General features: G+C 35.7%; 1 long non-coding RNA gene across 1 annotated transcript in view; it reads left to right on the top strand.

Annotated features, from left to right (window-relative positions):
- The window catches only part of LINC02228 (long intergenic non-protein coding RNA 2228), a 64,352-nt gene extending 44,015 nt beyond the window's left edge, over positions 1 to 20,337 (top strand). Inside the window, exons 4-5 of the long non-coding RNA NR_147006.1 lie at positions 10,197 to 10,300; positions 20,188 to 20,337. This is a non-coding gene — a long non-coding RNA (long intergenic non-protein coding RNA 2228). The remainder of the gene's footprint in view (positions 1 to 10,196; positions 10,301 to 20,187) is intronic.
- The last annotated feature ends 1,114 nt before the right edge of the window (positions 20,338 to 21,451 follow it).

Here is a 21,451-nt window from a genome sequence, read left to right as displayed (position 1 = left end):
ATTATAGTCTTAATCTATTGCTCGTTTTTGGCTTGTTGAGATTTTCCATTTTTTCATGGTTCAATCCTGGTAGGTTTTATGTATCTAGGAATGTATCCATTTATTTTAGGTTTTCCAGTTTGTTAGTGTATACTTGTTCACAATAGCCTCTAATGGTTTTTTGTATTTCTGAAATCTCGGTAATTATGCCTTCTTTAATTGTTTTTCACTTTATTTACTTAGGTCTTCTCTCTTTTTTTCTTAGTCCAACTAACAATTTGTCAATTCTATCTCTTCAAAGGACCAACTTTCCATTTCAAGAATCTTCTGTATTATGTTTCTAGACTTAATTTCATTTATTTCTACTCTGATCTTTATTATATCTTTCCTTCTACTAATTTTGGATTTGGTTTGTTTTTGCTTTTCTAGTTCCTTGAGGTGTTATTGTTAGCTTGTTTATTTTTACTTTTTGATATAGGCATTTATTGCTATAAACTTCCCTGTCAGTTCTGCTTTTGCCATATCGCATAGATTTTCTTATGTTGTATATCCATTTTCATTTGTTTCAAGATATTTTTAAAAATTCCTTCTATTCATATCTGGATTAGATAAATTTTAGTATTAGTACAGTGTTAGCCTCTAAGTGTTATTATTCTTTGTTTTATTTAACGTATTAATATAAGCTCTAATCCCCAAATCTTTGACATTTTGGTACTATGTTTATGTATATTATGTGTACCTGTGTCTTAGTCTATTTTGTGCTGCTATAACAGAATACCACAGACTGGTAAATTCATAATGAACACAAATTTATTGCTTTATGGCTCTGGGGGATGGGGCATCTAAGATTAAGCTACCAGCAGCTGTCAAGGGACTTCTTACTGTGTCATGCCATGGCAGAAGGGCAAGGATGGGGTGGGGGAGAGAGAGAAAAGACAGAACTGAAATATTCATCTATAAGGAACGCACTCTTTAATTAACAGCATCAATCCATTTATGAAGGTAGAATCTTCACAGACTTCTGAAAGGTTCTACCTCTTAATACTCTTACAATGGAAACTAAACTTCAACATGAATTTGAGAGGAGACAAACATTCAAACCACAGCAATGTGTTGCTGTTCTTGTTTTTTCTTTTTCCTCTTGAAACGATAATGGTAATGGAGATAATAAAATGTAGAAAATTATTGAAAATATATTATAGAAAATTACTCCTCTGGCATTATTCTAATTTTTCCAGGAGAGAAAAAATATATTTTATTATAATAATTTAGCATTTTATTCAGCATCTGGGGGATTATAAGTTATCAATCATGTGGCAAAATCAAAAGTACATTATTATGATTCTTCTGTAGGAGATATCAGACTGAGAGGTTTTTGTGTATTTGTTGTTTATTGGTGTTTTTTTTTTTTTACCTTGTTTCTTTAGTGATGTGGAGTGCTACGGGCTACTTATTTTACCTCCAATTCATATGTTTAAATTTTAACACTCAGAGGGATTGTATTAGGTGGAGCTCTTGGATATTGACTAGGTCATGATGAGATGAACACTCATTAAGGAGATAAGTACCTTTATAAAGGAGGTCCTAGAGAACTTCCTCATCCCTTCTCTCATATGAGGGAAAAAGACAGCCACCTATAAAGAGCAAAAAGACAGCTACCTATAAACAGGAAGAGGGCCCTCAACAGACTCTGAATCTGCTGGCATCTTGATCTTAATCTTCTCAGCTTCCAAAATTATAACAAATAAGTGTTTGTTGTTTAAGCCACCCAGTCTATGGTATTTTGTAATTGATGCCTGAACGGACTAAGACAGGAAAGTTGTCTAATCACCTTTTTCTCTTCAATACACATCTTAATTGTAGTGAAGGAGTCATTTGTCTGATGAGAATATATGGACACATAGAGGGGAACAGCCTACACTGGGGCCTTCTAGAAGGTTGAGACTAGAAGGAGGGAGAGGATCAGGAAAAATAACTATGGGAGTTAGGCTTAATACCTGGGTGATTAAATAATCTGTGCAACAAACCCCCATGTCATAAATGTACCTATGTAAGAAATCTGCACTTATATCCCTGAACTTAAAATAAAATTTAAAAAAATAAGAAGTGATTTTGGCTGGGCACAGTGGTTCACATCTGTAATCCCAGCCCTTTGGGAGGCCAAGGTGGGCAGATTGGTTGAGCTCAGGAGTTAGAGGACAGCCTGGGCAATATGCAGAGACCCCATCTCTATTGAAAAAAAAAAGTCATTTGTCCAGTCTATAATTTATTTTTTAAATTTAGTTTTTGAATTTATTTGACTTGCTGATAATTTTTTTTATATACTTTAAGTTCTAGGGTACATGTGCACAACGTGCAGGTTTGTTACATATATATATATATGTGCCATGTTGGTGTGCTGCACCCATTAACTCATCATTTACATTAGGTATACCACTGGTTCCTCCTCCTCCTCCTCCTCCCCTCTTCCTCCTCCTCCTCCTTCTTCTTCTTCTTGCCTGTTGTTGAAAACAAGTAAAATCTTTAAGAACCATTCAGTCAAAGAGTTGTCAAAAGCTAGTTGGCCATACTTTTTTTTTTTTAACTACATATACTTCCAAAGGAAACGTTATAAAATGGATAACATTTGTTTAGACACATGACAATGGAAGAGTTGATTTATAATAAGCACCTTATTTTATGTTTATGTAATGCAAAATACATCACTTACAGAAAACACACACATTCACCTCAAATTCTGTTTAATTACATTTCCTGATTCATAATGCCTTTCATTTTAGCAGATTGTTTAACAGTTTTGAAATTTTAAAAAAGTGTTCCATTGAAAGTTGATCATACTTTATAAAAATTAAAAAAATATACAGAATATTAAGAATGTTCACTGCCCAATAGTGTGAAAGTCACCTGCAATTGCAATTAAAATTTCATGGTTATACTTTTGTTTTAACTGGATATTGAATGCTAATCTTCACATATATTGTATTCTACTAAAAATTTTTATACTCATAATTTGGGAATCTTATAAAAAGTATTATAATAAAACTTAAAATATTCTTTCACAATTGGGAATGAACACTAAGTGGGTAAATTGGTATCGAGGCAGGATGGGGAATAAAGAGAGGTTGCTGTCCTGGTAGAATTGCCCTGGATTTACGTCTCCCATGTGGCAATGTTTAATAAGACTTTCTCTTAAAAATACTATTTTGATACTAATCCCTTAAATATCATTTATACAACAGGGAAAAATGGATGAGCATAGCATAAGAATAAATGGCAGCTATTGCGATAATCAACTGGGAAAAGAAAAACAAATTAAACCTAATTTTCTAACACTGTCTAATTGCAATTATATTTTTAAAAAGGTGCTTAACTATATCAATATGTTGTAATTAGACTAAGAAATGGAGGAGGGAATTAATGACAGAGAATAAATGTATAAAATTTCTAGTTCTTAACTTTGATCATGTATAAGAATCACCTGTAGGTTTTCTTTCTCTCTTGCTCTTGCTCTCTGTCTGCAAAAGAAGAGTGAAGAAGAGTAACTTAGACCCCATGGATGATGTTATTTTTCTTATAAAAAATCAATTTATTAAAATCTCTGGAAAATAAACTTGGGAGTTCACGTACACAACCACATGCAAAGGAGTTACTTGTATATTTTTCTCTAACATGTAAGTTGATGCCTACTGAGAAAATGAGATTTTTCTATTCATGCAGGAAGTTTATGTTTGATATTTCAACTCAATCAATTGTAATTAAATTGAGACTAATTAAAATGGGAAATCAAAAACAAGTGAATTGACAAGTTGAATCATTCCCATAAGATTAAGAAGAAATTTAAAATTAAAAGTAATTTTCTCAGGCAAAGAGAAAATTATCATCATTATAGGTCAATTACCTAAGGCATTCTTGAGTACTTTTATTGTAAGAAATAATGAACATAGGGGTCCGCATTGTTAAGATTACAAAAAGGAAAAAAAAATGGCCAAGAAATTAATTTTAACTTTTGGTTCCTATAATTATGAATATAGTACATATTTATTAAACAATAATCTACCCATGGAGATGTGCCTAAGGCATCTGCAATTGTGGCAGAATTAAAGAGCTGGTGATATGAGGTATTTGTAATTGAAAAACATAATTTTAATTTATAGATATTCAGATATGTCTACATCAATCATTTTTAAGTAAATATAGAAGCATGTTTGCTTTGTTTTCCACTGACCTTAAGAGTAAAAACAAGGCCGGGCGCGGTGGCTCACGCCTGTAATCCCAGCACTTTGGGAGGCCGAGGCGGGCGGATCACCAGGTCAGGAGATCGACACCATCCTGGTTAACACAGTGAAACCCCGTCTCCACTAAAAATTAGCTGGGCGTGGTGGCAGGTGCCTGTAGTCCCAGCTACTCGGGAGGCTGAGGCGGGAGAATGGCGTGAACCTGGGAGGCAGAGCTTGCAGTGAGCAGAGATCCAGCCACTGCACTCCAGCCTGGGCGACAGAGCAAAACTCCGTCTCAAAAAAAAAAAAAAAAAGAGGAAAAGCAAGGGTCCTGATTTTTGGTTCTCTACCATGTTGAAAAATTACATGTGAGTTTTTTAAGTGAAAAAAATAGTAAGCAGAGCCATATAAATTTGCTAGTTTTATAAATTGAAATTGATCAAATAGTACCAATTTTATTTTATTTAACCTATACTATCGAATTCAATTTGTCTAATCTCCCCCAAACGACAACAGGGGCCCAGAAAAGATTCGAATTTTTTCTGAGGTTGACAGTAATTCAATAACAGGGTGGAAATAGAAGCAGGACATTTTGACGTCTATTAAAATACTCTGGCTTATTCCACAAAATATCAAGTAAAAACTTGTTTATAAATCATATGCTGGAGTGAATACCTATGAGTTTGTGTGCATAAAAAATATGCTGGGAATTTTTAGACAGCTAATCTATTTCTACGTCAGGATAAATTTTTCTTAAGCCTAAGGATATAAATTCAGGTGGGGCCACATGCCTCCTTCTTTTTTTTTTTTTTTTTTTTTTTCCAGAGTCTTGCTCTGTTGCCAGACTAGAGTGCGGTGGCACAATCTCGGCTCACGGCAACCTCCACCTCCCGGGTTCAAGTGATTCTCCTGCCTCAGCCTCCTGAGTAGCTAGGATTACAGGCGCCTGCCACCACGCCCGGCTAATTTTTTGTACTTTTAGTAGAGACGGGGATTCACCATGTTGGCCGGGATGGTCTCTATCTCTTGACCTCGTGATCCACCCACCTCGGCCTCCCAAAGCGCTGGGATTACAGGTGTGAGCCACCCCGCCTGGCCACAGATGCCTCCTTCTAATCAATATGTTTAAAGAAAAGGCAACTACAGGACTGGGCATGGTGGCTCACTCCTGTAATACAAGCACTTTGGGAGGCTGAGGCGGGTAGATCACCTGAGGTCAGGAGTTCAAGACCAGCCTAGCCAACATGGCAAAACCCTGTCTCTACTAAAAATTCAAAAATTAACCAGGCATGGTGGTGGGCTCCTGCAGCTCCAGCTACTCGGGAGGCTGAGGTGGGAGAATGGCTGAATCCAGGAGGCAGAGGTTGCAATGAGCTGAGATTGTACCACTGCACTCCAGACTGGGTGACAGAGCGAGACTCCTTCTCGAAAAGAAAAGAAAAAAACAAGGCAACTCCCTAGGATTTCAAGTCCCATGTCTGGATCCCACTTGTCACAGTCCTAGCCAAGACTTCGATTGTGACTTTGTCCTGGGTTAATGCAAGGCCTCCTAACTTTAGCGGCCCTCTCCTGTCTCTTTCAGGAGCAGCTTCAGCAATATGTCTAGAATGAAAATTCGATCACCCTGCCCCCAACACCTACACACAATCCCCTTTAAAAATGTGCCATGACATTCCTGTGCTGTTAGAAATAATTTTAAATTTGCTATCATGGCTTTCAAAGCCTCATTATCTTTTCATACATTAATCTCAGATTTCTAATTTTTCATTTCTGGATGCTTCCTACTACTGTTCAGTTACCCACAGACACCACACAGAGTACAACAGATACAGTTACACTGAACTTTTTAGTTTTTCAAAATGTGTATTGCTCTCTCTCCTATTCCATTGTCTGCACAATTATTCCTATTCTCTTTGTACAACGTGCTTACTGCGTCCTGCCCAGAATATTTGGAGCATTCAGTTTTCTGCTAAAATTGCATTTATTTCTCAGATAGCTTCGTGACTCCTCAGTGAAATCCATGGGCTGTGTGTTCTATTGCTCATTTAACAAATTACCATGTATTTGGTGGCTTAAAACAATGCAAATGTATGATCTTACAGTTCTGTAGATCAGAAGTATGACTCATTTCTAATTTGGCTAAAATCAGGGTGTCAATAGAGATGTGTTCCGTTCTCAAGGCTGTAGGATAGAATTCATTTCCTTGGCTTTTTCAGCTTCTAGGTGCTTCCCTCATTCCTTGGCTGGTGGCCCCATTTCATCTTCAAAACCAGCAATGGAGGATGGCATTTTCTTCTCACAGTGGATGATTCCAGACTGACTCTCCTGTCTCTCTCTTTCATTTATGAGAACCAGTTTGATTACATTGGACCCACCAGAATAATGAAGGATAATTTTTCTGTTTATAAATCAGCTTGTTAGCAAAATTATTTTCATCTGCAAACTTATTTTCCTATTGTCATATAGGATAACATATTCCTCACTTTGAGGAATGAGAACATGGATACTTTGTCCACCACAGGCTGCTAACAACACTGCACCTTCATGACTGCTTACATCTCGGGTATCAGAATCACCTCCCACTCACTATAAGCCAATTTAGTAAGAATCAGCCAATTTTATTTATCATTTTAGCCTTTGTTCTTAGTACGTGATGTCTTATATAATGTAAGATCACACTTAATAATTAAACACACATTGTAAATAAAAAGCTGAGTAATCCTGGGAATATTCCTGAAAGATATTGAGTGCCTGGAACTGTGACTAAGAGACATATTATTATTTCCTAGAGAATTTTAGATTCTAGAGCTTATTCCTGGCTTCCTTATTTTATACTAGGGCTAACTTCTTCATTATCATTATTTTGCCTTGTATCCAAATAATTTTATCAAAAACCACATTGCTTTGAAATATGTTTCTTCTTTTCACTCAAGTCCCTGACTTGCTTCTGTTCTTGATTCCCCTTTGCCCTCCATTTTTTGTTCGTTTATTGTGTTTCAATAGAGTGGGAACTGAGAGAAAAGCGTGATAAGACAAAGTGCTCAGAGCAGGTAAAGGATAAATACAGTGGGAAGGAAAGACACGTTGGGGGCCTCTGATTACTGTTCTATATTCAAGTACAGTTTTCCCTGGGAGTCTATGGGTCCCCCCATCCACAGATTCAACCAACTATGGATTGGAAGTAGTTTTTTTAAAACACAATACAAATAATGACACAATAATACAAAAATAATAATACTTAAAAATACAGTGTAACTATTTATATAGCATTTACATTGAATTATGTATTATAAATAATCTGGAGATGATTTGAAGTATACCGGAGGATGAGCAATGGCTATATGCAAATGCTGTGCCATTTTATATCAGGAACTTGAGTTTCCATGGATTTGGATTATCAATCCAAATCAGTAACCAATGCTGTGTATATGAAAGGATGACTTTCATCCTTTCTGTAACCTATCTTGTGTATATGAAAGGATGCCTATATTCTACTTGTGATTTAATTATTTTCAGATTTGTGTTGGTATCTAATTTCACTATATAAATTTTTGATGAAACTTTTTTATAGGCATATATGTATTGACTTTTTTTCTATAAGGCCTTTTTTGTATTTTGTCATAAAACATTTTTTCGTATTTTGCCCAGTATTTGAAAAAATTTTTTATTTTGTTTAATTTAAATTCATACTTATCACTATCATATCCATTACCAAAGTAGAATATATTTCCAGAAGATGATAATGACGAATTTATATTCATGCAGTTCATATATAATCTGAACAGAACTGTGTCCACAAATTTACCGAGACGATAGCAACTGTATTCATTTCTCTTGTATGATTTTAGTCACTTCTTTTAGGCCATCAAATTTGTCACACATGGTTAATTTAGCTTTAACTTCACTACAAAATAGTATTAGTGGAATAGACATGGTATAATGTATTTTAAGCTCCTCATGCCTTACTTACACTAACTGACACATTAACATTCATTCATTTTATTCAATTTGTACAAATGCTTTTGTGGCCACAGAAAGGCTGAGGAAGAAATCCGATATGTTTAATACCTATTATCTGTACTTCCTGAGATTCAACTACATGATATTGCAAATTTTGATATATAAATCAATGTCATATAGCTCCAATTAATAAATAATTATTTAAATTTCAAGAAATATATGAGGCACATCATATAAAACAATAGAACACAACATTTTATGACACTGAACTTTGTGAAATTCTAATTTTATGGGATTTCACCTTTCACTTACACAATTAATACATTTATTTCCCTCCCCCAATCATATGTAGTCATCACGACCAAAGACACTATATATTAGGCAATTAAATTTTCCCAAGAAATTTACCTTATTCCTTACACTAGCTCAGTTAACAGTGCTATTACTGATATTTTGAAGCTAAATAAACCATAGCTTATGTAGATTATATTATTAAAAGTCATACATTAATAAGTGTCTGATTTAGGATTTAAGCCTAGAAATATTTTATTTCATAAATCACAATTAAAATCATCGAGTCATAGAGAGCATTTCTAGATATGAAGACTTTTTTAGAATTGCAGCTTAAGTAACACTCCTCTTTAAAAAACAAAAACAAATGAAACCCATTTGTGTTTTAAGTTTTACAATAACTGACATTTAAGTTTTACAATAACTGACATTATATATCAAAATATATAGATTTTATCAACAATGTTTGAATTTCCTTTTTTCTGAAATTAAGGTTTTTTTGTTTTTTTGTTTTGTTTTGTTTTGTTTTGTTCTTGAGACAGAGTCTCGCTTTGTCACCCAGTCTGGAGGGCAGTGTAGCGATCTCAGCTCACTGCAACCTCCACCTCCCAGGTTCAAGCAATTCTCCTGTCTCAGCCCCCCGCGTAACTGGGATTACAGGCACCCACCACTATGCCCAGCTAATTTTTGTATTTTTAGTAGAGACAGGGTATCATCTTGTTGGTCAAGCTGGTCTCGAGCTCCTGACCTCAGGTGATCCACCCACCTCAGCCTCCCAAAGTGCTGGGATTACAGGCGTGAACCACCGCACCCGGCCAAGATTCTTAATGTAATATGTATGTATGTGAGAAAGACAGTGAGGGAGGTTGTTGGGAGAGGGTTTTGTGTGCTTGTATTTTCTTGCCCTGCATCCATTTTCCTGTTTTGGTAATAGTTAGTTTCTTTTGAAAATCATCCCTCTTCATGCTCGTATATGTAGTCCAAATGGGACTGAAGTCCTGCTCATCCTTGCTACAGAGGCAGGCTCATGGCCTTGCACTGGTCTGTTTATTTTACAACCTAGCCATGGTACTTGGTTTGGGGATGGGTCTGGGTCTACACTTAATCCAGTGAGAATGAGTTGCATGAAATTTAATTAAATTTGAGTAAAAGTATTTTTTATTGTGATTGTAAGATGCATAGATTTGAGTTGTGACACCACATAGATAGTGCCTAAGAGTGAATACTACATGGAAGTAGAGGAGGAAAATCAAACACTGTTTGAACCTTTGGGTCCAGGCATTTTTGAAGATAACTAACTTGTTTTTATATTTTCATTTCTCAATAAATCTATTTGCTTAAGCCATATAATCTGATTTGTCAGAAACTGTTTTATTCCATTGCAGATTTGTTTATTGTATTGCAAACTCTAGCTAGCTTAATCACACAGAAATATATTACAGATTATTAAGTTTAGAATTTATGGAATAGAGAAGCAAAAAACTTTGAGTCTCCCCATCAGGAAGAGTGACTTTACTATATCATTGCCCAACTTGCAACCTCCATGGTGATGGAGACTGTGTACTAGAAACTCCACTGTGGCATCCCCAGAAAAAAACATATGTTACTACTGCTCTACTTGAAAAGAGATGGCCTCTTCCCAGATGAATGTTATCTCACATTGCTCGATTTTGCATTTATATCTTGTGTGTCTACTCTGAGGATCTTAGCTTTGAGAAAATATTGGAAATGTTTTTCTTTCCTTTCCAGACTCTATGGCACAAAGAGGCACTACAGAAAATCCCAGAATTTATTCTGACTGAAGCAATATGCAACTGGCAAAACTGGCAGCTGAAAGGATCCTGAATAAGAAGGTAGTGTGACCATCAACATTTCTCCAGCTTACCTTACTAGCTCAATGTTACACTCTGAGAATTACCATATTTAAATTCTACATTGTTATAGAAAATCTTAGCATGTATGATGGTGTTGTTACCCAATTTTCAGTAACTTATGAAACTTACGACATTTTTCTTTTTTGAGACAGAGTTTTGCTTTTTGCCCAGGCTGGAGTGCAATGGTGCAGTCTTGGCTCACCGCAACCTCCGCCTCTAGGGATCAAGCGATTCTCCTGCCTCAACCGCTCGAGTAGCTGGGATTACAGGCGCTGAACACCGCACCTGGCTAATTTCTGTATTTTTAGTAGAAACCAAACTTCACTATGTTGGCCAGGCTAGTCTCAAACTCCTGCTCTCAAGTGATCCACTTGCCTTGGCCTCCCAAAGTGCTGAGATTACAGGCATGAGCCACCACGCCCAGACCCAAAGCTTATGACAATTTTGTAACTCATCAGGGATACCTCAAGAGGTAATCAGCTAAAATACTATCCATTGGTGGCTCATGCCTGTAATCCCAGCACTTTGAAAGGAAAAACAGTGTGGATTGCTTGACAACAAGAGTTCAAGGTCAGCCTGGCCAACATGGAGAAACCACTTCTCTACTAAATATACAAAAAATTAGCCAGGAGTGGTGGTGCACACCTGTAATCCCAGCTACTTGGGAGGCTGAGGCACAAGAATCGCTTGAACCCAGGAGGCAGAGGCTGCAGTGAGCTAAAATTGCGCCACTGCACTACAGCCTGAGTGATACAGCAAGACTCTGTCTTAAGAAAATATCTATTGGCTTACCTAAGAATGTAGAATCACTAGCGGCTTTATGTTTCTTAAAAGAAACTCTGGAAGAGCCATTCTAGCCTTCAGTTCATTTCTTTCCATTCCTTAGAATACAGGCCCCCAAACAATCCATAATTACCCAGTGTAGACTTAGACAGGCAAGGTTTGTGTGACTTTCTCAACCACACACAAATTTTCAAAGGAGTAAAGCATGTGGTATCTCTATTAAATATTACAAAGTGTCAAAATTACAGGGTATAACTATGTAATTTGTGAAACATATGCTCTGTTTCTATGTTTTCATTAAAATTATAAAATCAGAATTTCTCATTATAGTATGAAATATAAACACTCACTTGGAATAAGTTGCTAGCACAATCTGGTTAGGAGCTGCTGTGGTTTTCGTGGTTAGAGGCTGTATTAACTTGTTTTCATGCTGCTGATAAAGATATACCCAAGACTGGACAATTTACAAAAGAAAGAAATTTAATGGACTCACAGTTCCACGTGGCTGAGAAGGCCTCACAATCGTGGCAGAAGGTGAAAGGCACATCTCACATGGCAGCAGACAAGAGAAAAGAGAGCTTGTGCAGGGGAAATCCCATTTTTAAAACCATCAGACCTTGTGAGACTTATTCACTATCATGAGAACAGCAGAGGAAAGACTTGCTGCTATGTTTCAATTACCTCCCACTGGGTTCCTCCCATAACACATGGCAATTCAAGTTGAGATTTGGGTGGGGACACAGCCAAACCATATAATTCCACTCCTGGCCCCTCCTAAATCTCATGTCTTCACATTTCAAAATCAATCATGCCTTCCCAACAGTCTCCCAAAGTCTTAACTCATTTCAGCATTAACTCAAAAGTCCATAGTCCAAAGTCTCATCTGAGACAAGGCAAGGACCTTCAACCTATAAGCCTGTGAAATCAAAGGCAAGTTAGTTACTTCCTAGACATAATGAGGGTGCAGAGGTTGGGTAAATACAGCCATTCCAAGTGGGAGAAATTGGCCAAAACAAAGGGACTGTAGTCCCCATGCAAGTCCGAAATCCAGCTGGGCTGTCAAATCTTAAAGTTGCAAAATGATCTCCTTTAATTCCATATCTCACATCCAGGTCATACTGATACAAAAGTTGGGCTCCTACAGCCTTGGGAAGCTCTGCCTGTTTGGCTTTGCAGGGTATAGCTTCCCTCCTGGCTGCTTTCATGCAGTGGTATTGAGTGTGTGCAGCTTTTCCATGTGCACAGTGCAAGCTGTCAGTGGATCTACAATTCTGGGGTCTGGAGGATGGGGTCCCTCTTCTCACAGCTCCACTAGGTAGTGCCCCAGTAGGGACTCTGTGTGGGGGCTCTGACCCCTCATTTCCCTTCCTCCCTGACCTAGCAGAGGTTCTCCATGAGGGCCCTGCCCCTGCAGAAAACTTCTGCCTGGACATCCAGTCATTTCCAAACATCCTCTGAAATCTAGGCAGAGGTTCCCAAACCTCAGTTCTTGACTTCTGTGCACCTGCAGGCTGAACACCTTGTGAAAGCTGCCAAGGCTTGGGGCATGCACCATTTGAATCCATGGCCCAAGCTGTAACTTGGCCCCTTTTAGTCATGGCTGGAATGGTTGTAATGCAGGGCACAAAATCCCTAAGGTGCACATAGCATGGGGACCCTGGACCCAGCCCACAAATCCATTTATTCCCCCTAGGCCTCCAGGCCTGTGATGGGAGCATCTCCCATGAAGACCTCTGACAGACCTTGGAGACATTTTCTCCATTGTCTTGGGGATTAACATTCAGCTCCTCGTTACTTATGCAAATTTCTGTGGCTGGCTTGAATTTCTCCTCAGAAAATGGAATTTTCTCTTCTATTGCATTGTCAGGCTACAAATTGTTCACACTTTTATGCTCTGATTCTCTAATAAAACTGAAAGCCTTTAACAGCAACCAAATCACCTCTTTAATGCTTTGTTGCTTGGAAGTTTCTTCTGTGAGATACCCTAAATCATCTCTCTCAAGTTCAAAGTTCCACAGATCTCTAGGGCAGACCCAAATGCCACCAGTCTCTTTGCTACAACATAACAAGAGTCACTTTTGCTCCAAATCCCAACAAGTTCCTCATCTCCATCTGAGACCACCTCAGCCTGGATTTTGTTGTCCATATTATTATCAGCATTTGGGGCAAAGCCATTCAACAAGTCTCTAGGAAGTTCCAAACTTTCTCACATTTTCCTGTCTTCTTCTGAGCCCTCCAAACTGTTCCAACCTCCACCTGTTACCCAGTTCCAAAGCCACTTCCATATTTTTGGGTATCTTCTCAACAACACCCCACTCTACTGGTAGCAATTTACTGTATTAGCCTGTTTTCCTACTGCTGATAAAACATACCTGAGACTGGGAAGAAAAAGAGGTTTAATGGACTTACAGTTCCACATGTCTGTGGAAGCCTCACAATCATTGGGGAAGGCAAGGACAAGAAAATCATGTCTTACATGGGTGGAGACAGGCAAAGAGAGAGAGAACTTGTGCAGGAAAACTCCTATTTTTAAAACCATGAGATCTTGTGAGACTTAATCATTATCACTGGAACAGCACGAGAAAAACTTGCTCCTACATTTCAATTGCCTCCCACCAGGTTCCTTCCACAACACGTGGCAATTCAAAATGAGATTTGGGTGGGGATACATTCAAGCCATATCAGAGGAAAATATGCTTTAAGTTATAGTGATACTTCATGACAACCCACAGAAGCATATTTGTTCTTCCAGCCCTTAAATATTTTAGATTACCACTCTCAAGAAGATAGGGTATATTTCCTACTTCTGTTTATGTCAATAGCCAGCCATCCTTTCCTCATTATGTTTAATCCATGCTAAAATTCTGATTGTTACTCTAAATTTATTTCTGGCTTAGGGCCTTGTCCTTTTCATTTACTTTGTCTGAGTCCAATTCTACCCACCCAAACAGATTTGACCTCTGGCTCCCAGAAACAATTGTCTAGTTTTATTTTTTCTATTTTTATCACTATGTGAAATTATGGAATTAATGTGTATTTAAATTGTATATTTTCTACTCTGACATCAGCACCCAATCTAGTTAAGAACAGGACATCATGTTTCTTCAAAACTGTGCTAGTGGCTGGATTACAGCATATATATTAAGAGGAATTTGAATAGATATTTGTAGAGTCAGTGATAGAATAATTTTTAGAATGAAAAAATAAAATTTTAGTGCAGTTTTTGAAGGTTCTGAATGTAGCCATCTAGAGAACTTTTTAAAGCTCTAAATTTTCTTATTATTTTCCTAATATAGAGTATAGAGACACACCTGTAAAAGGAAGATAATAAGTTAGCCCTAGATGACCCATAATTACCTAAATAAATAATGAATATTAAACAATAATAATGACCTGGTTTATGAACATTCCACTTATTCCCTTAATGATGCTTCTGTTATTTAACTGAAATGGACATCCTCCCTTATGTTATAATTAGGAGCAAAGGACTGATTAGAGAATGTACTCACCTCTTTTAAGAGATTTTCTTGTGAGCATATCTGTCCCCATTCATGATACTTTAAAAAGGCTAATGAATGCAATTTAAGATAGTGTCTATTTTCTATTTATTAGTTAATATGGTCTTTTTAAAAAGTGTATAATGTACAACCTAGTTTTGCCCTCGTACCATACATATCAAAACAGTGTTGTGTTTTTTAATAAAATATACTTCTCCTCCAGATGAATATATATTTCTACCTTCTCCAAAACTATAACCTTATCTGTCTACAAACATATATACCCAGTTCAACATAATCCATGTCTACTTTTAAATTTTTTATAATTTTCAATACATCTTTGTAGTTTTTAAATATTCTTCATTATTTATTTCATCATAATTTTTGGATTTATCTTTCCTTTAAGATTTATCAATCATAATTTAAGTCAAGATATGTTGATTATTTCTTTTTTATTTACAAACATGGCCTTCAAGTTCCCAGAGAAAAGACATATTATTAAAAAAAAATTTGTATGTCCTAAAATCAAGCATTTTTAGGCAGTTATTTTAGTTTTAAGAAACTATATTTACTCAAGAAAAATAAACAAAAATGTTTTTACTTCTAAATAACTAGAACAAATGTTTTTAATAAATCTTAGCAGATTTAGAATAAGTGCAGAATAGATTGTCACTTATGATTTTACTGAATCCAAATATTACATAGTAATCTCATAATGGGTAAATAGAAAAAAATGTGTGTCACAACTTGATTTATTAACATACTCTAATGATTTAATTAGAGTATATTTATACATATAGACATAAATCTTATACAATACATGTACAAAACTTATAGAAACCATCAAATTATTTTTAATAATTGAGTTCATATTTTATAATATACTTGGATTATTTAATGTAAAAATTGAAATTTTTTATTTTTCCATTAAAAGGAAGAGTAAGTGAACTAAAATTTAGTTAAATAAAATGTTTAACAAGCTGGATAATTTATACTAGTGAATGGGTTATACTGATACAGATAACGAATTAGTCACATGCATTTAAAATTTTAATGTTTTTAATTTATTTTACATAAGCTGTACATTATATATAATATTTATTTATTTAATTCACTATAGGCTTGAAGGCACACAAATTTTATGTATACTTTAAATAAACAATATATGAGATATTCTGCAATGATAACATATGTTGATTTTCTCATAGGTGTCCTGGTATTTAATCCACTAACAAAATTAAGATAAAATCGTAGGTAACTTTATTTTTGTAGTATTTTAAAAACACAATTAAGTATATATGTAATAAATTTTATTTTAAAAATGTTGGAACAATTTCTAGCCACTAAAGAGAAGGCTTTTGTTATTTTTATTCATGCTAGTACCATTCAACGTTCATTAATAGCATTTGTTCGAATACATTTATTACAGAACTCCTCAATTTGAATCCAGGCTCTATGCCAGGTATTGGAATACAATAAGGAGCAAGACAGAAGAATTTACCCGGTAGCAGGGTAGGAAGATGACCATCTTTGCATCAGAATAACTGTATAGTAGTGTAGACAGGAAGTAAAATGCAAGTATATCTTAAAAGAAAACAACAGTATCTCTGTGATTGATACATGAAGTGGCCATCTCAATATGATCAATTATGTTTGGAAAGAGAAATTCCCTCAAACATATAAGAATGGACTTTTAGTCTCACCTCCCTTATTCCAGTCTTTGTGTAATCTTGAAAGTGACACAGCCTTTTGTGGTATTTTTCTGGGTTGTAAAATGTGAAAAAAGATTATTCGCATCTCAAAATTACTATCAGGATTAAATGAAAGAATTTGCATAAGATATTGATCTGCAGTACAGTATTTCAAATAACTCAAGCACACACATACATATTTGTAATATATATATATGAAAAAAGGCAGATAATGTCATTGTAATCTAGGTGATAGAAAAATTATGAAAATACTAAATCATCAATTTGTTGGTAGATTAAAATCTGAGCACTGAATTTATTACGGTGCAATTTTTGGTTAATCTTTTTCTTAGAATTTGAAATTTAACATTTTTATTCTTCCCCACAGTGAGAATAAATGAGAAAATGAAATCTCAGGGGAACTTCTTTGATTTCCTGCTTCAGATCTTTTCTCTGTGTTAGGGATCTATATTGCATAGTCTTCTTTTGATCTCTATCTGAAAAGGCCACTGAAAACAGGTAGAAACTTTGGTATGAAAAGTGCTATATGGACACATACCAAAGTTTAAAGAAGAGTGTAATAAGGATATTCCAGCTATATTACAACTATGTTAAGTCCAATTAATGTTTTTAAAAGACTAATAATAGGTCTCCTTATATATTCATCATCTCCCATTATACATTGGTATTAGATTTATAATTATATAAGATTTTGCCCAAAGACTAAAGGTCAAAAGTAGATATAGACAGCATCTAATGGAGAATATTAGATACCAATATTTTAAAATAGCCTTTAATGATGATAGAAAAATTAAATAATCCTATGTAAAATGGGTCAAAATTAAAAACACAAATTCCACAGAAAATGATGCAAATATCTAACTGACACATACAAAGTCTTTATATAATTAGGGAAAAGATTATCAAAAATATTACAATATCAATGAATAGTTTGGAAAATCAAGCAATGTAATTATATCCAGTGCCTGTTAAAGCAGGGCACATGGGAGTCCTCATACATTACTGGTGGAACTGTAAGATGCTATAGTGTTTAGAAACATTATCCAGGAGGATATTTTTAAATAAAATTAAATGTGCTTATTATATGCTCAAGCAAGTAATATTATTTTTGGAAAATTATTCTGCAGAAATAAATTTAACTGTAAACACAGAATAAACACACACACAAAATCACATGCACCATATTTGGCGATAATAAAAACTAGAATTCTCATAGGAAAATTATTGAAACACATTACATAAGTATATAATGAATTAATATCAGTAAAATATGGGTTAATTTAAAAAAATAGTTACTACATGCCTCCTGTTCTAAAAATAGTTACTATATGCCTCCTGCTTTCAATAGGCCCACCATTTGAGGCCTTGATTATACAATAATGATTAAAATAAGTGGTTGAACTGTAAGGCCGTACCAATACTGGTTAGTGTGAGAGCATGCAATATCTCATTGCCACAGACATAGGAGGGTTCACGTCTACTCTCAGGCTCTGCTCCAATGACCTCCACTAGGGGCTCATGAGAAAGAATGAGGTTGGGGGCAGGTTGGGAGACTGGAGAAAGTTGGTTCCACAGAGCTGTACCGGAGAAGGGGAGCAGCTGCTACCGCAGAAAGGAGAAAGTCTTGTTTACATCATGTTTCCTCCAAGGAGCAAAAGCTTTAAACTGCTTGGACAGGAGCAACCATCTTGTTATTCTGAGAGAACAGGAGAAGATTTACTATAGCTGGAGAAAAAGGAAAAGAAAAAAGTCCTCTACCCCTGGGAAAGGGAAAAATTACATATCTGCCAAGAGAATCAGAAGGCTCTTAGTGATATGAAAGTGGCAGAAACCCTGATGAAACCCCACATCTGAGACTTAGTAACACAGGATCTGCCTAAGACTGAGACTAAAACTGGACCCCAGAGAAAATTCACCTTCTTCAACCCCCACCAGGTTAGCCAGCACCAATTAACAAACAATAGCAATCTATAGCTGTGGGAGGGAAAAAAGAGGATAGAATGATGTCCTCTCTAGGTACAAGCACATGATGAAGACCTAAAGCTAAGCATAGTGCAAGAAAATCCTTTAGAAAACCACAGCCCACATTAAGCACATGGTGACACTGAAGATATTTGAAGGTAATGATGCAAGGAAGACAAAGACAAAATCCCAAACCTGCTCAACTTCTGAATAGTGGGAAAAAATTAATCATGATAATGGCTAAGGAAAACAACTGGGATTAATATGTTAAAGCTGCTAGGAAGGCAACACACATAAACACATGAGAAATTTCAGAATAGAGATGGAAAGTATAAGGAAAAGAAAAATTGAAATGTGAAATATAAAAATCATGGCACCTTCACAGTAAAAAAGACCACAATTTATCAACACGTAAATCTGCAAAACTAGGAATTATCTTCTATTTTCATCCTTACCAACTTAGAACTCAAATCTGTCCCAGTGTTGCCATATATATTACCAAAACCTTGGTAACCAGTTACTATTATTTTTTGCCTAAATCAAGAGTCAAGAAACATTTTCTAGAAAGATACATACAATATATATTTAGGCTTCATGGATCACTGCGTATTTGTGGCAACTATTTAATTCTGCCATTAGAGTGAAAAAAGCAGTCATATACAATATATACAAAAGTGAGGATGGCTACTTCTTTAGTTTGAATGTGCCCCCCAAATGTTCTTAATTTGGAATTTCATTGCCATTGTGGCAGTTTTAAGAGATGGAGCTTATTGGAAGCTATTAGCTCCTAAGGACCTCATCTTCCTAAATAAACAAATGCCATTTTTTCAAAACTGGCTCTGTTATCTTGGGAGTTCCATCGTCTTTTCCTCTCTGTCTCACGTACTGTTGCCCTCTCTCATTCTCTCTCACCCATCCATTTTCTGCCCTTCCACTATGGGATGACCCTTTCCAATTGCCAACACCAAATGATAAGAAACTCTTGGACTTCCCAGCCCTCAAAAGCATTGGCCAAATAAACTTCTGTTCTTTATAAGTTGCCTAGTCTGTAGTGTTCTTTTATAGCAGCAGAAAACAGGCTGAGATGGCTACATTCCAATATAATATTATTTACACAAACAGTCAGTGTGTCAGATTTAAGCTACAGACCATCACTGGTGACCCTTGGCCTAAGCTAAAATGTCCTGTAATGTGTACCCCATAGAACTACAGATCTTTATTTATAAAATATAAATCTGATAATGTTGTTTTCCTATTTGAAATACCTCAGTGGTTTTTCATATACACAATAGTGGACAAAATAAAGCCTCTTCTATTTCTACCTATATTTCCAATTTACTATAATTTTGTGTATCACTGTATTAAAGAAATTGTCTTTGTACAACTAAATCCAAATGTGGTCTCCCTAGGTATTCTGTTTCTCAGAAAATTGCTTCCCACATAATGCATAGCACAACCCATCACAATATTATCATTTGTTTATTTCTCTCTATTTTTATTTTCACCATTCTAAGATAAGGTGCAAGAGTGAAGGGATTAGGACTAACTGTACAACCCTGGCATCTTCAGTTTCAAATACGTGCTCAGTGAACATTTGTTGAATGCATGAGTGAATGAATGAATCACACAGAATAAGAGATGACAAGTTGAGTGTCATAATATGCTAGGGATTGACAACTAGATGATAGATCTTCAAATCTCTCACACAAACAAATGTGACTTAGGGTAAAGCTCTCAGAGCTATCATCAGTTTAGAAAACATTTGCTCTATCTTTGTCACATAATATACATTAACTTTTTTTGAGAAAAAATACTGGAGTAAATTTTGAAGTGTTACAATGATGCAAGATTTTAAGCATTTGTTTGTTTTTTGATCTGTTGTTTTTTTCTCTTCCTTTCTCATGTAATTAAGGATTTTAAATGCCGTTTTGGCACAGGATGTCAGAGCACAAGCATGGTGAAGAGGAATCTGTGTCAGGAAGAAGGTGGAAGAGATATGACATTGGTCAAACAGAGAATTGATAAAATAAGAAAACAAGTTGAAAAACTAAAACAAAACCAGGTGCCAAATTTCTCAAAGCCAGAGAATGGATTAAAAATATGGAATGGAAATAAACAAGTATGAAGCCTGATGATTAAACTGGATGTATCAGTAATGAAATCATGGAATCTAAAAAAAATCAATATAAATGTATGTATGCATATATGGAGAGAGAGAGACAGAGAAACAGACAGAGGGAGAGGCCAAGCAACTGGTACAAGTGATACCCTAATCGCAATGAGGACACTGAACCCCCAGATCTTGGTTCTCAATAACATGCTCCATTGAAAAGAATGAGGCCTGATTCTGGAGCTGGTGCAGAAAAATTACAAGATGATCCTGGAATATATATTGTTAAAAATTAAGACAATGTTGAAAGGATAATAAGGTCATCCTGAAAGATTAAATTGTTGTCAGTTTGAGAATTTAAATAATTAATGGCAAAATGGATTACTACTCATTGAATCAAAGAGAAAAACATGAGCCCATATTGTTATAAATACGTAAATGCATATATTGAAAGCTTAATTAGAAACATAGTTTCAAAATAAACTCCCCTAAAATACCTAAGAATGGTAAATTTGTAGAGTGTTTCTTTCTTTATAGTAGAGGAGCCAAGCATGCTTTACCTTAATCAAGTGATCAGTGTGAATATCATCAGGACAAATCAAAAACATGCATCACCTGAGAGCTTGTAAAGAGAGCACAGCATCTCTTTGTGATATTTTCACTAAACGTGCACACCTTGAGTCTAACCGTGAGAAAGGAGCAGACAAATACAAATTGAGGGATATACTATAAAGTAACAGACTTATAATCATCAAAGTGTGAAGGTCACATATGTCCAAACAAAAGGTAGAAAATGTTCTGTACTGGAAGAGCATAAACAGATATGTCAACTGTATGGAATGTTTCACTGTAAAGTGAATCCTGTTGCTAGGAAGGACGTTATTGAGATAGCCAGTGAAACTTAAATAGGGTCTAGGGAGTCGATGGTAGTAATGTATTAATGTTGGTTTTCTTTTTTCTTTCTTTCTTCTTCTTTTTTTTTTTTTTTTGGAGACAGAGTCTCACTCTCTCCCAGGCTGGAGTGCAATGTCGCCTAGGCTGGTACGATCTTGGCTCATTGCAACCT

Source organism: Homo sapiens, chromosome 5 (genome assembly GCF_000001405.40).
Source record: "Homo sapiens chromosome 5, GRCh38.p14 Primary Assembly".
Classification (NCBI taxonomy): Eukaryota; Metazoa; Chordata; class Mammalia; order Primates; family Hominidae; genus Homo; species Homo sapiens.
This window is presented reverse-complemented; position numbering and strand designations above follow the sequence as displayed.